At 52.6% G+C, this 13,119-nt stretch overlaps 1 protein-coding gene and 1 pseudogene across 6 annotated transcripts in view, besides 3 other annotated features; both read left to right on the forward strand.

The window, feature by feature from the left end:
- CLASRP (CLK4 associating serine/arginine rich protein) overlaps positions 1 to 13,119 on the forward strand; it is a 31,912-nt gene that overhangs the window by 6,328 nt on the left and 12,465 nt on the right. For 4 of the 6 annotated variants that reach the window (NR_103529.2, XM_011526396.2, NM_007056.3 and 1 more), the window contains exons 3-7: positions 6,699 to 6,796; positions 7,419 to 7,520; positions 7,726 to 7,805; positions 11,078 to 11,162; positions 12,378 to 12,526. Coding sequence is in view for 4 of the 6 variants with exons in the window: in XM_011526396.2 (XP_011524698.1) it covers positions 6,699 to 6,796; positions 7,419 to 7,520; positions 7,726 to 7,805; positions 11,078 to 11,162; positions 12,378 to 12,526 (514 nt within the window). In the remaining 2 variants the exon portion in view is untranslated. Of the gene's footprint in view, positions 1 to 6,698; positions 6,797 to 7,418; positions 7,521 to 7,725; positions 7,806 to 11,077; positions 11,163 to 12,377; positions 12,527 to 13,119 lie in introns of those variants that run through there. The other 2 variants (NM_001278439.2, XM_011526397.4) reach the window with 2 other exon arrangements.
- Positions 399 to 693: an enhancer, noted in NCBI's record as "tiled region #2438; HepG2 Activating DNase matched - State 5:Enh". NCBI's record gives its function as "activates a minimal TATA promoter and a strong SV40 promoter by Sharpr-MPRA in HepG2 cells {active_cell/tissue: HepG2}" and the evidence as "EXISTENCE:reporter gene assay evidence [ECO:0000049][PMID:27701403]".
- RNU6-611P (RNA, U6 small nuclear 611, pseudogene) lies at positions 2,088 to 2,188 on the forward strand (annotated as a pseudogene).
- Positions 3,972 to 4,526: an enhancer, noted in NCBI's record as "H3K27ac-H3K4me1 hESC enhancer chr19:45552602-45553156 (GRCh37/hg19 assembly coordinates)". NCBI's record gives its function as "activates a minimal SCP1, AML or CMV promoter by ChIP-STARR-seq in naive H9 embryonic stem cells {active_cell/tissue: H9 hESC(naive)}" and the evidence as "EXISTENCE:reporter gene assay evidence [ECO:0000049][PMID:30033119]".
- Positions 11,902 to 11,971: an enhancer, noted in NCBI's record as "active region_14778". NCBI's record gives its function as "activates an Ori minimal core promoter by ATAC-STARR-seq in GM12878 lymphoblastoid cells {active_cell/tissue: GM12878}" and the evidence as "EXISTENCE:reporter gene assay evidence [ECO:0000049][PMID:35858748]".

Genomic DNA, 13,119 nt, shown 5'->3' on the forward strand with positions numbered 1-13,119 from the left:
CGGGCATGATGGCGTGCATCTGTGGTCCCAGCTCCTCAAGAGGCTGAGGTGGGAGAATCTCTTGAACCCAGGAGGTGGAGGCTGCAGTGAGCTGTGATTGTACCACTGCACTCCAGCCTGAGTGGGAGAATAAGACCCTGTCTTTAAAAAAAAAGTTTCGGGATGTTTTCCCGTAACATTTCCACTCCTCCCCTGCTGACCAGGAAGTAGTCTTATGAACAGCCGTGAGGAAGGCTAAGAGGTGTAGACTTTATTTTGGGTCGCCCTGACCAGATATATTTGGAGTTCTGTTACTGTTGTAGCAAAGGGAATAGATGTTGGTTGCCAATTAATGGTTTGCCACTAACAGTGGAGACAAGAGCATGTCCTTCGATGTTGTTGGAGTGTTGGACACATGGACCACTGAGAGCAGCCTGGCCAGCGTCGCTATCGCTCAGTAAATATTAGCTCTTGTTATTGACATTACTGTTGCTGATAGAACTGGAGTTTGGATCCAGGTGGAGGGATGGTGCAGAGGAAGGAAGGCTGGAGCTGAGACTCCAGGCCCCCTCCCTGTTAGCAGGGAAGCTTGCTGCATTGTATTCCCCCTCAGGACAGTGGTGACGACCAACCCCTCTCACTGGATAATGGGGAAGAGCTCAAAGAACCAATGTCTATGGGTGCTTTGTGGTGCAGGCCTGTACAAGCGGCCTTTGTCCCTGTATGTGAACGTGACCTGCATTCCGATCTGGGCTGCCAAGCTGTGGAGTATGGCTGGGCCGTGGCTGATGGCTGCTTTGAGGAGGGGACTCTCATCTCAGCCTTGGGCCGAGAGCAGAGGCTGTGGAGCGAGTGTCAGTGAAGCTGCGGTAGATTGTGGCAGGCTGAATGAGTATGTCCAGATGCAGTTGGTTTCTGTCTTCCTGATTTGTCGTTGGTGCCTGCTTTCTCTCCCTGTCTTCAGTCCCAAGCAGACTCCGGTTCTGTCATTGCTTCTGTCCTTGTCAACTTTCCTTTTTAATCAGTGGTTTGGATAAAGAAACAGAATCCTCTGTTGATACGGAAATAAGAAGTAAACAGGTCGCAGCTCAGGCGTCGCCTCCTCCAGGAAGCTCCAGACTGACCCCCAAGTCTGGGTCAGGTGTTCCCCCTGTGGGCCCCCATCTCAGCGCTGTCCACTCTAGGTTGTCCTTGTATGGGGACAAGTCTGTGTCCCACACTGGACTGTGAGCCCATGAGGGCAGGGCCAGGGCTATCTCAGTTACTGCCATACCCTAGCACAAGGTCTGCTTAACAGTTGAATGAATGAATGAATGAATGAGTAACTTCATGAACTCCTCTGACACAATCTGATCCTAGAGACAGGATAATCCAGTGGTTAAGAGTTGGTTTTGGGCCGGGCGCGGTAGCTCACGCCTGTAATCCCAACACTTTGGGAGGCTGAGGTGAGCAGATCACCTGAGGTCAGGAGTTTGAGACCAGCCTGACCAACATGGAGAAACGTCATCTCTACTAAAAATACAAAATTAGCTGGGCGTTGTGGCACATGCCTGCAGTTCCAGCTACCTGGGAGGCTGAGGCAGGAGAATCGCTTGAACCCGGGAGGCAGAGATTGTGGTTAGCCTAGATCACGCCATTGCAGCCCAGCCTGGACAACAAGAGCAAAACTCTGTCTCCAAAAAAAAAAGTGGATTTTGGATCTTGAAGAGGTACTTATACACTTATGTTCATTACAGCATTATTAGCAATAGCCAAGAGGTGGACGCAAGCTAAATGTCCATTGAGGGATACATCGAGAAAGAAAATGTGGTCTCTACACATAACGCAATATTATTCAATCTTAAAAAAGAAAGAAATCCTGTCCTATGCTACAATATCGATGAGCCCTGAAGATGTTATGCTAAGTGAAATAAGCCAGTCGCAAAAAGACAGTATTGTATGATCCGCTGATAAGTATCTAAAATAGTTAAACCTTGCTTGAGCCCAGGAGTTCCAGGCTGCAGTGAACTGTGATCACACCACTGTACTCCAGCCTGGGTGACAGAGCAAGACTCCATCTCAAAAAAAAAAAAAAAAAAAACAGAGAGAGAGAGGAAGGGAGGAAGGGAGCTCACTTCGGCAGCACATATACTAAAATTGGAACGATACGGGGATTAGCATGGCCACTGTGCAAGGATGACACAAAAATTCGTGAAACCTTCTGTATTTTTGGTAAAGAAAAAAAAACCTAAAAGAAAAGTCAAACCCTCAGAAAAAGAAAATACAGTGCAGGTTGACAGGGATGGGGGGAGGAGGAAAGGGGAAGTTCAGTTTTGTTTCAGTTTTGTAAGATTTAAAAAGTTCTAAAGCTCTGTTGCACCACAGGGTGGATGTAGTTACTACTACTGTACTGTACACTTAAAAATGTTAAGATGGTAAATGTTTTCTACCACAATAAAAAAATTATTCTTGGCCAGATGTGGTGGCTCACACCTGTAATCCCAGCATTTTGGGTGGCTGAGGCAGGCAGATCACCTGAGGTCAGGAGTTGAAGACCAGCCTGGCCAACGTGGTGAAATCCCATCTCTACTAAAAATACAAAAAATTAGCCAGGCAGGTTGGTGCATGCCTGTACTCGGGAGGCTGAGGCAGGAGAATCGCTTGAACCTGGGAGGCGGAGGTTGCAGTGAGCCGAGATCATGCCATTGCACTCCAGCCTGGGCAACAAGAGTGAAACTCTTGTCTCAAAACAAACAAACAAAAAATTACTCTTAAAAAGCAAATAAATAAAAAGAAGCAGATTTTGTAGTCAGGCCCATCTGGGTTCAAATCCTAGTTCTGCTTATTCCTAATGTCAGGCAGGTGGACCCCATGGCTTTGAGCCTCAGTTTACTCATCTGTAACATGGGCATAAGAATAGTACCTGCTGGGCGTGGTGGCTCATGCCTGTAATCCCAGCACTTTGGGAGGCCGAGGCGGGTGGATCACGAGGTCAGGAGTTCGAGACCAGCCTGGCCAACATGGTGAAATCCCGTCTCTACTAAAAATACAAAAAATTAGCCAGGCATTTTGGTGCATGCCTGTACTCGGGAGGCTGAGGCAGGAGAATCGCTTGAACCTGGGAGGCGGAGGTTGCAGTGAGCCGAGATCATGCCATTGCACTCCAGCCTGGGCAACAAGAGTGAAACTCTTGTCTCAAAACAGACAAACAAAAAATTACTCTTAAAAAGCAAATAAATAAAAAGAAGCAGATTTTGTAGCCAGGCCCATCTGGGTTTGAATCCTAGTTCTGCTTATTCCTAATGTCAGGCAGGTGGACCCCATGGCTTTGAGCCTCAGTTTACTCATCTGTAACATGGGCATAAGAATAGTACCAGCTGGGCGTGGTGGCTCATGCCTGTAATCCCAGCACTTTGGGAGGCCGAGGCAGGCGGATCACGAGGTCAGGAGTTAGCGACCAGCCTGGCCAACATGGTGAAGCCCTGTCTCTACTAAAAATACCAAAATTAGCCAAGCGTGGTGGCGGGCACCTGTAATCCCAGCTACTCGGGAAGCTGAGGCAGGAGAATCCCTTGAACTTGGGAGGCAGAGGTTGCAGTGAGCCGAGATCGCGCCATTGCACTCCAGCCTGGGTGACAGAGCGAGACTCTGTTTCAAAAAAAGAAAAAGAATAGTATGTTTCTTCCATGGTTGGGACATTCGAGTGAGACAGTGCACATAAAACAGTGCCTGGTTTTTAGTAGGGTTCATTGACTTTTCCAGAATCTCCCAACAGAACCAGGCTCTGGACTCCTGGTGTTTACTCCCGGCTCAGTGCTTATTCCTTTCTGTGAAGCTGACCCTGCCAGTAGCTTCCCTGTACCTGCCAAATTCTGTCCTGCAAACAGTGTCCCATGAGTCCTGGCTGTGGGAACTGGGCATTTGGCCTGGAGCAGCCTCAGGAGTATGATGGGATCTTGGCCTTGGACTTGGCTGGCTTGTCCCAGGGCAGAGGGAGCTGGGTGCGCTGTGTGGCCCCAGCTGAGGAATCAGCTAAGGAATCGAGGGAGGCAGGCGAGGTGCAGCATGAGTAGCTGGACTCCAGCAGCGCCACCTCGCTGGGCCTGTGGTCTTGAGTGTTCCTTAGACTCAGTTTCTTTAGGTGTGAAATGAGAGTCACAGCAGCCCAGCACCTGGCACATAGTGAGTGCGGGGTTGAAACTAGCCAGGTATTAGCTGTGGTCCTGGTGAGTGACTCAGCTCCTTCAGCCCGGACTGCACCTTCTCATCTGCTGGCTGAGGGCTGAGATGGAGACAGAGTGAGGATGTGCAGGAGCTTGGAAACTTGGAGCTGGTGTTTTTTTCCTGAAGGGGCTCAGAGTCTTCATCTGTTAGTAAGGATTATTCCTGTCTTTCCTTCATTGGGTGTTCTCAAGCGCCTGCTGTGGGCCAGGCCCTGTTCTAGGCTTTAGGGATATAGCAGCCAAAACAGAGCCCTGCCTCCTGGGAGTTACGTTCTAACATGGGAGAAAGGTGATGAATGAATATTAGGTCCAGTGGCAGGTGGTAGCGGGTGCTCAAAAGAAAACAAGTGGAGTTAAGTGAGTGAATTGTGTGGTATATGAATTACTTCTCAATAAAGCCACAGAGTGAAGGAGCTGGGGTAGATAAGTGGGGAGCTATTTAGATAGAGTCACTGAGGACGGCTTTTAGGAGGAGATCTGAAATAAGCGGGGGAGCAGAAGCACAGAGGTCCGAGCAGAAGCACGGGGCATGTCTGGAATGCCCAAGGAATGGCGTGAGGCGAGGGCCTGTGTGCCTGGAGCAGAGTAGGGGAGGGAAGAAATCAGAGAGGGACAGGCCAGCACCTGTGAGGGCTGAGTGGTTGGGAGTGGGGTGGGGGGTGGGGTGCGGCCCAACATGTGTCAGCAAATCTCCTGGAGGCAGAGCCCAGCCTGGACCAGACTGCATCCACACATTGAAAGATGACCAACATCATTAGCCATCAGGGAAATGCCAGTCAGAACCACAAGATACCACTTCACCCACACTAGGCTGGCTGACATGGAAAGGACAGACTATAACAAGTAGTAGGCCAGGCATAGTGGCTCATGCCTGTAATCCCAGCACTTTGGGAGGCCAAGGCAGGCGGATCACCTGAGGTCGAGAGTTCAAGACCAGCCAGACCAACATGGAGAAACCCCATCTCTACTAAAAATACAAAATTAGCTGGGCATGGTGGCGCATGCCTGTAATCCCAGCTACTCAGGAGGCTGAGGCAGGAGAATCGCTTGAACCTGGGAGGTGGAGGTTGCAGTGAGCTGATATCGCACCATTGCACTCCAGTTGAAGATCCTGATTTCTCTATATTCTTGTCACTACTTGTGTTTTGTTTTGTTTTGTTTTGTTTTTTGTTTTTGGAGATGGAGTCTCGCTCTTGTCCCCCAGGCTGGAGTGCACTGGTGGGATCTCTGCTTATTGCAACCTACCTCCACCTCCTGGGTTCAAGCGATTCTCTTGCCTCAGCCTCCCAAATAGCTGGGATTACAGGCGCCTGCCACCATGGCTGGCTAATTTTTTTGTATTTTTAGTAGAGACAGGGTTTCACCATGTTGGCCAGGCTGGTCTCGAACTCCTGACCTCAGGTGATCCGCCTGCCTCGGCCTCCCAAAGTGCTGGGATTACCGGCGTGAGCCACTATGCCCGACCCACTGCTTGTTACAGTCTGTCCTTTCCATGTCAGCCAGCCTAGTGTGGGTGAAGTGGTATCTTGTGGTTCTGATTGGCATTTCCCTGATGGCTAATGATGTTGGTCATCTTCCCATGTGCGGATGCAGTCTGGTCCAGGCTGAAGTGTCCACACCAGTCTCTAAATGAACGGCCCGGAGGATGGGAGGTGAAGAGTTAAGGGGGCTGATATTTTAGAGAGCGAGGTCTTCGTACTGGCTATGCAGAAGATTGAGCCACCACCTCGAGAGGAACCAATAGCTTATTTCTTCAATTTCTTTTTTTTTCTCTTTTTGAGATGGAGTCTTGCTCTGTTGCCCAGGCTAGAGTGCGGTGACACAATCTCAGCTCACTGCAACTTCTGCCTCCCAGGTTCAAGCGATTCTCCTGCCTCAGGCTCCCAAGTAGCTGGGATTACAGGCATGTGTCACCACGCCCAGCTAATTTTTTGTATTTTTAGTAGAGCCTGGGTTTCGCCATGTTGGTCTGGAACTCCTGACTTCAGATGACCTGCCTGCCTTGGCCTCCCAAAGTGTTGAGATTACAGGCGTGAGCCACCATGCCTAGCCAATTCCCTTATTTCTGAAGGTTAGCAGGTTGGTTCACCTCTGAGGTATGGCCCACTTGACCTTAGAAGTGAGCTTGCTGCAGGCCGGGCGCGGTGACTCATGCCTGTAATCCCAGCACTTTGGGAGGCTGAGGCGGGTGGATCACGAGGTAAGGAGATCGAGACCATCCTGGCTAACACAGTGAAACCCTGTCTCTACTAAAAACACAAAAAATTAGTCGGGCATGGTGGCGGGCGCCTGTAGTCCCAGCTACTCAGAAAGCTGAGGCAGGAGAATGGCGTGAACCTGGGAAGCAGAGCTTGCAGTGAGCCGAGACAGCACCATTGCACTCCAGCCTGGGCGACAGAGTGAGGCTCCATCTCAAAAAAAAAAAGAAGTGAGCTTGCTGCTAAGCTCGGTTGTGTGTGAGGGGGTGGGGTTTGGAGCTCTGTTGGGTGGTGACCTCAGTCCTGTTTACCCCTGCAGAAGAAGGACCCAGCCCAGTTCCTGCAGGTACATGGCCGAGCTTGCAAGGTGCACCTGGATTCTGCAGTCGCCCTGGCCGCTGAGAGCCCTGTTAATATGTAAGACTGATATGGAAGGCAGGGGAGTGTCTGAAGTCTGGGAGTCAAAACGGACCTGGGGTGGTGTAGAGTGTGGAGCAGAGACTGAAGTATGGACAGACCTTTGGGGACTCAGAGGCAGGGAAGGTGTGACCCGCATATGAAGGTGATAGTCACAGGGTGTAAGAACAATGAGCAGGGGTTGGGGTGGAGGCCCCAGAGTAGCAGTCATGGTTGGAGGACTTAGAAATGGGTGGAGCCAGGGCCAGAGGCCCAGAGGAAGCAGAGAGTAGGTTGCCAGACCCGAGCTGGCTCAGGGTGCCTGGGGCCCGCCCCTCAAATACCCTCTAGGACCTGGTTCAAGTTCCCCACTATTGCTTGGTTGTGAGAAATGGGGCCCTGGTGTCCCCAGGGGCAGTCAGATGACTGGCCTGTTTCAGGTCCCAGGAGCCTGAATGTGGATTCAGGGAGGCTTGCAACAGAAGGGACTGAGAGCTGGGGGTTGAGGTGAGGGTCATGGCATGGGGACCAAAGCAGGCTGAGGGCCAGGCTTCTAAGCCTCAGCTGGCAGGGAGCAGGTGCTTTGTGTCCTGGGCAGTATGGACCCTGAGGTTCTTGCTTTCTTGCTCCCCTCCCACTTCAGGATGCCCTGGCAGGGGGACACCAACAACATGATTGACCGATTCGATGTCCGTGCCCACCTGGACCACATCCCCGACTACACCCCCCCTCTGCTCACCACCATGTAAGCCACCTCCCAGGGGGTTGCCAGGCACAGCGTCATACCCAGGAGCCCCTGTTCTTTTCCCAGCCTACCTGTCACCTTCCTAGGAGCCGTTCCTATTTGGTACCGCCCTGAGCCTGAGGGGGATGCCTCATTTCCCTTCCTGCTGGCTTGGGGGGGGATCCACTCCTTCTCTCTGATTTCAAGGTCTCGCCCTTCCCTAAAGCTCCCCAGAACAGGAGTCGGACGAACGGAAGTGTAACTACGAGCGCTACAGAGGCCTGGTGCAGAACGACTTTGCCGGCAGTGAGTGATCTGTGGGGGGACGTGGGGTGTGGGGTTTGAGCCTGGAGCCTGGAAGACCTAGATAGGTTTGGGAAGAAAAGTTTTATCCACATACTTTCTACTAAAGGGCCTTGGGTTCCGGCTCCAGCTCTACGATAGACTCACTTTGCCTGCATCTCTTTCCCCTTCTAGATTTGGTATAGGGGATGTCTGCCGAATGGGTTGTTCCCAGCAGAGTCACGTCCATATACCATGCCTTCTGACTCTGTGGTCCGTTTTTCTTTAAAAAATAGAGAAAATAGCAAGAATATGTTTTTATTTTTATTTATTTATTTATTTGAGGCGGAGTTTCGTTCTTGTTGCCCAGGCTGGAGTGCAGTGGTGTGATCTCAGCTCACTGCAACCTCTGCCTCCTGGGTTCAAGTGATTATCCTGCCTCAGCCTCCTGAGTAGCTGGGATTACAGGTGCCCGCCACCACCCCCAGTTAGTTTTTTGTATTTTTAGTAGAGACGGGGTTTCGCCATATTGGCCAGGCTGGTCTCGAACTCTTGACCTCAGGTGATCTGCTCACCTTGGCCTCCCAAAGTGCTGGATTACAGGTGTGAGCCACCACGCCCAGCCAAGAATACGTTTTTAAAAGCATTTAGAAAGATGGGGTCTCACTGTGTTGTCCAGGCTGGTCTGAACTCCTGGGCTCAAGTGATCCTCCTGCCTTGGCCTCCCAAATTGCTGGGATTATAGACATGAAACACTATGCCCAGCCAGGAACAGATTTTTTACCTCTGTGTATTTTACTCTGCCCGCACAGATCAGATTGTGAGCTCTAAAAAGGAAATTTCTCCTTGATTTAAATGAATATTTGCCAGCATTTGACAATTTGCCAAGTGTTCATGTATGTCCAGGAATTTTCTCCCAGCCCAGCCTTATCACCATTGTCATTTTCCAAATGAGGAAACAGAGGCTCAGGGAAACTTCTCGCTGCTCTGGGCTTGCCCAGGGAGGTTTGGATCCCAACAGACTTGGGCTTTTTTGTCTGTATTATCATTACATCTGCACAACCACCTAGCAAGGTAGGGGTGACACCCCGTTTTGGGGTTTTTTGTTTTTTTTGAGATTGAGTCTTACTCTGTTGCCCAGGCTGGCATGCAGTGGCGCAATCTCAGCTCACTGCAACCTCCACCTCCTGGGTTCAAGTGATTCTCCTGCCTCAGCCTCCCAAGTAGCTGGGATTACCGGCGCATGCCACCATGCCCGGCTAAGTTTTGTAGTTTTAGTAGAGACGGGGATTTCACCATCTTGGCCAGGCTGGTCTTGAACTCCTGACCTCGTGATCCACCCGCCTCGGCCTCCCAAAGTGCTGGGATTACAGGCGTGAGCCACCGCGCCTGGCCATCACCCCATGTTACAGACAAGAATGTCGAGGGGGAACACCCTGTCCAAGGAGCTGGGATTCTCCACGTGTCCTTAACCACTGCTCCCTGTTGATGGAAAGCTCCTAACTCACCTACCAAGAAGGACTTGAGATTCCCTTTCTTGGGATTCCCTGTGGAGTTAAGGGAAGGATGGAGTTCTCTGCTGGGTTTGTCCCTTACCACCTGGCAGGTCTCGGCTTCCTCCTCGAGAAGGGTGGTGGTGTTGATTTTGTTGCGTGGGGTGGTTGTAAGAGTTGAGTGAGATGATGTGTATAAAACCCCAGCACCGAGCCTGGCACAGTCAGCCCTCCATGTGGGTTTGCTAGTCCAGTATTTGTTTATTTCTAAGATAGATGCTTTTTTGATTTTCTAAAATCAGAGGCTGCCAAAATTCTAGTGATCACTGAGGCCTTAGAATCAGGGACATGTGTTATAATTGATACTGTTTTTGCCATCATTCCAGGCCACATGGCTTCCTGGTGGTAGAGCCAGGGTTCCCCTTAGTTTCGCCTCACTCTGCATTTATTCATTCACTTCCACAAACAGTCATTGAACACCTGCGGTGTGGCAATGGTAGGGGAGAGGGCAGCAGCTCCATAATCAATGTCAGTGATGCCAATTGCAAACCAAGGTGATGTGACAGACAGTGTGCCATTCTCTGAGAAAAATAGGACAGAAGTCCTGGATAGAAGCTCCCTGGGAGGCACGGATAGGCCACAGGATTCCAGGCCGAGAGCAGCCTGTGCAAAGCCCTGTGTCAGCCAGGACTGTGAGCACACTGGAGGGGCAGAGAGAAGGCCCGTGTGGCTGGAGCAGGGAGAGCGAGGGCGCTTGTGCAAGACAGGGTCAGCAGGGCCTCTCTTGGGCTTTGGAGACAACAAGTAGAAATTGGGGTATCTGCTAGAACAAGGAAGGGCCGTGCTACATCCCCTTCTGGCCTGCCAGCCTGCCCACCTCTTGTTCCAGATAGAAAAGCTGAGGCCAGCCGGGCACGGTGGCTCATGCATATAATCTCAGCACTTTGGGAGGTTGAGGCGGTGGATCACCTGAGGTCGGGAGTTCGAGACCAGCCTGACCAATATGGAGAAACCCTGTCTGTACTAAAAGTACAAAATTAGCCAGGCACGGTGGCGCCTGCCTGTAATCCCAGCTACTGGGGAGGCTGAGGCAGGAGAATCGCTTGAACCTGGGAGGCGGAGGTTGCGGTGAGCCAAGATCGCGCCATTGCACTCCAGCCTGTGCAACAAGAGTGAAACTCTGTCTTAAAAAAATAAGAAAAGAAAAACTGAGGCCTAGGGAGGGAAGGAAGGAAGGGGACTTACAACCCACTGTCCCACAGCGAGTCAGGGACACGTGTCTCACTGCAGGGAAGATCAGGAAGGCTCTGGTACATTGTTGAGTCCCCCAGGCTGGGTGTTGGGGGTGCAGGAGAGCCCAGGTCATCCCAGCCCACACCTAACTTAAAATGAGCCACAGAGAGGCATGCAGTGGAGTGACCTGTGCAGTCAGAATGGCGTGTGGCACTCAGGAGCAGGTTATGGTTCTGAAGGGTCCAGCCAGAGGCCTCCAGAAACAGTGAGAATGGTGGTAGAGTGCCCAAGTACCAGGCCAGGCACTCACTCTGCCCGTGGTCCCATTTTACGGAAAAGGAAACTGAGGCACAGATGTGTTAAGTCCCTTGACCAAGGTCGTGTGTCCAAGGCTCTGCTGCAGTTGCTTGTGTCCCACCAGACATAGTTTGATTATCTGGAAGTGGTGACTGCCCCCCAAGGTGCACTGGGGTTGCACCTGTCTTCCTGCCCCACCGCACCCTTGTGTTCCCCCACTGAATTCCTAGTGTCCCCAACCCACTCTGACCTGGGGTCTCTTGTTTGCTGCAGTCTCAGAGGAGCAGTGCCTGTACCAGATCTACATTGATGAGTTGTACGGAGGCCTCCAGAGACCCAGCGAAGATGAGAAGAAGAAGTGAGTCGGGGTCTGGGGTGCAGGGGGTTGAGGAGGCAGGAGGGCTGGGAGCCCCAGCCAGGCATGGCCTCTTCCATCCTGTCCACCAGGGTCTCCCCGAAACCAAGGATGGTGTTCAGCACACAGTCAGTGCTCAATTAATAACTGTGTAGAGGAAGAAGCCCTGTCAGGGGGCCCCGGCTTGCCGAGGGCTCTGCGTTACATTTTCAGCTTGGGAAGTGGTGGGAGGTGCAGGCCCTGTGGTGAGACAGCCCTGGGTTTGAGTCCTGGCTGTGAGGCCCTGAGTGGGAATTGTCTGAGCCTTGCTGTGCTTCCCTGTAAAATGGGGCTGGCAGGAGGCCCTACTGCCTGGAGTTGGGAGGCATGCAGGAGATGGGGCTTGTGAAGTACCTATTCCAGCACCTGCCATGTAGTGAGCTTGCAGTCAGCCCTAGCTGATGTCACTCTGGAGAGAGGCTTCTTAAAGCCGCGTCCCTCAAGGAGTAGCTGGGGAGACCCGGGCCTTATCCTGGAGCAGCTGCCTCTGAGGAGCAGTGGCCGAGCAGTCTCACTTCTCTCTTCTCCACCTCAGTCTGATGAGTGCAGGCCTCCCGCCCTCACACACGCTATTCCCTCTGCAGGGCTTAGCTCTCCTCCAGGCCAGCTGCTGTTGCCCTGGTGCACGGTAGCCTGGAGCCCTGGCTCGGGGCTGGGCAGCTCCCTCAGTGACACCTTCCCTCCTGCTACCCCTGACTGCTTGCCGCCTTCCTCCACTGGGAGGGGTCCCATGGGACTGTACTGGGAGCTTCTTGGAGACTTCAGCCCTCGTCCACGGCCCCAGCCTCAGGATCCTGCTCAGGCCCTGCTCTGTTCAGGGCAAAGCTGGGGCACCTGGCTGCTCAGGAGGACTCTGGGCTGTGCCCTTGTGGGACTCATGGTCTAGGCGGGAGACAGACCTTCCCCAACAGAGATGACCCAACAAAGGCAGGGCTGGGGAGCTCAGGACAGTGCTGACCCACCCTAGGGTACCAGTCAAGGACTTCTTGGCAGGTGGGGCCCTAGAGCTCAGATGTGGAGGAAGAGGGAGGAGCTGGGTGTGGGCAGGAGCAGAGGGTCCTAGGCTGAGGGAGAGCCTGAGGGGAGGGGGCCGTGGCACTCGAGACTGGTGTGTGGGGCTAGCCTGGGGCCCTCATCTCCACTGGGCACGGCCCTGGCTTACCAGCTCCCCTTTCTCAGGCTGGCAGAGAAGAAGGCTTCCATCGGTTATACCTACGAGGACAGCACGGTGGCCGAGGTAGAGAAGGCGGCAGAAAAGCCAGAGGAGGAGGAGTCAGCGGCCGAGGAGGAGAGCAACTCGGACGAAGATGAGGTCATCCCCGACATCGGTGGGGTCCCCTCTCTGCCCTCCCCACCTGCAGTCCCTGGGCATCGTTTCTGTGTCTCGTCCCTCACCCTCTGTGGGGCACCCCGTGCTTACGAACCGTGTCTCTCTCCCTACCCCGCCCCAGGGCACACCAGCCTCCTGCTGCCCCTGTCTCACTCCTGTCCTCCTCCGTTCCGGCCTTCCTCTGCCTCACTCATCTCTCATTTCTAGGGTGCTATTTCTATGATCTTTTCCCCTCCTAGGTGTTGGCTCCATTCTCCTCCACTTGGGCCGGCCTCTCTCTGCCTTTGCCCCTCTCTCCTGCTCTCTTCCCTCCTCTGGAAAACAAGTGTTCATCCTCTTACAGAGTCAGCCCCCATCCGCCAGGCATCTGTTCACCCTCCTCTCTGCCATTCACCTCCCCTCTGGATTCCCACTGATCAAACCACCCCCAAGTCTCTCTGTTTTTCTCATCCTGGTTCTTACTCCAGCAACTGGCTCTTTTTATTTATTTATTTATTTATTTTTGAGATGGAGTCTTGCTCTGTTACCGGGCTGGAGTGCAGTGGCATGATCTTGGCTCACTGCAACCTCCACCTCCTGGGTTCAAGTGAT

Source organism: Homo sapiens, chromosome 19 (genome assembly GCF_000001405.40).
Source record: "Homo sapiens chromosome 19, GRCh38.p14 Primary Assembly".
NCBI classification, from domain to species: Eukaryota; Metazoa; Chordata; class Mammalia; order Primates; family Hominidae; genus Homo; species Homo sapiens.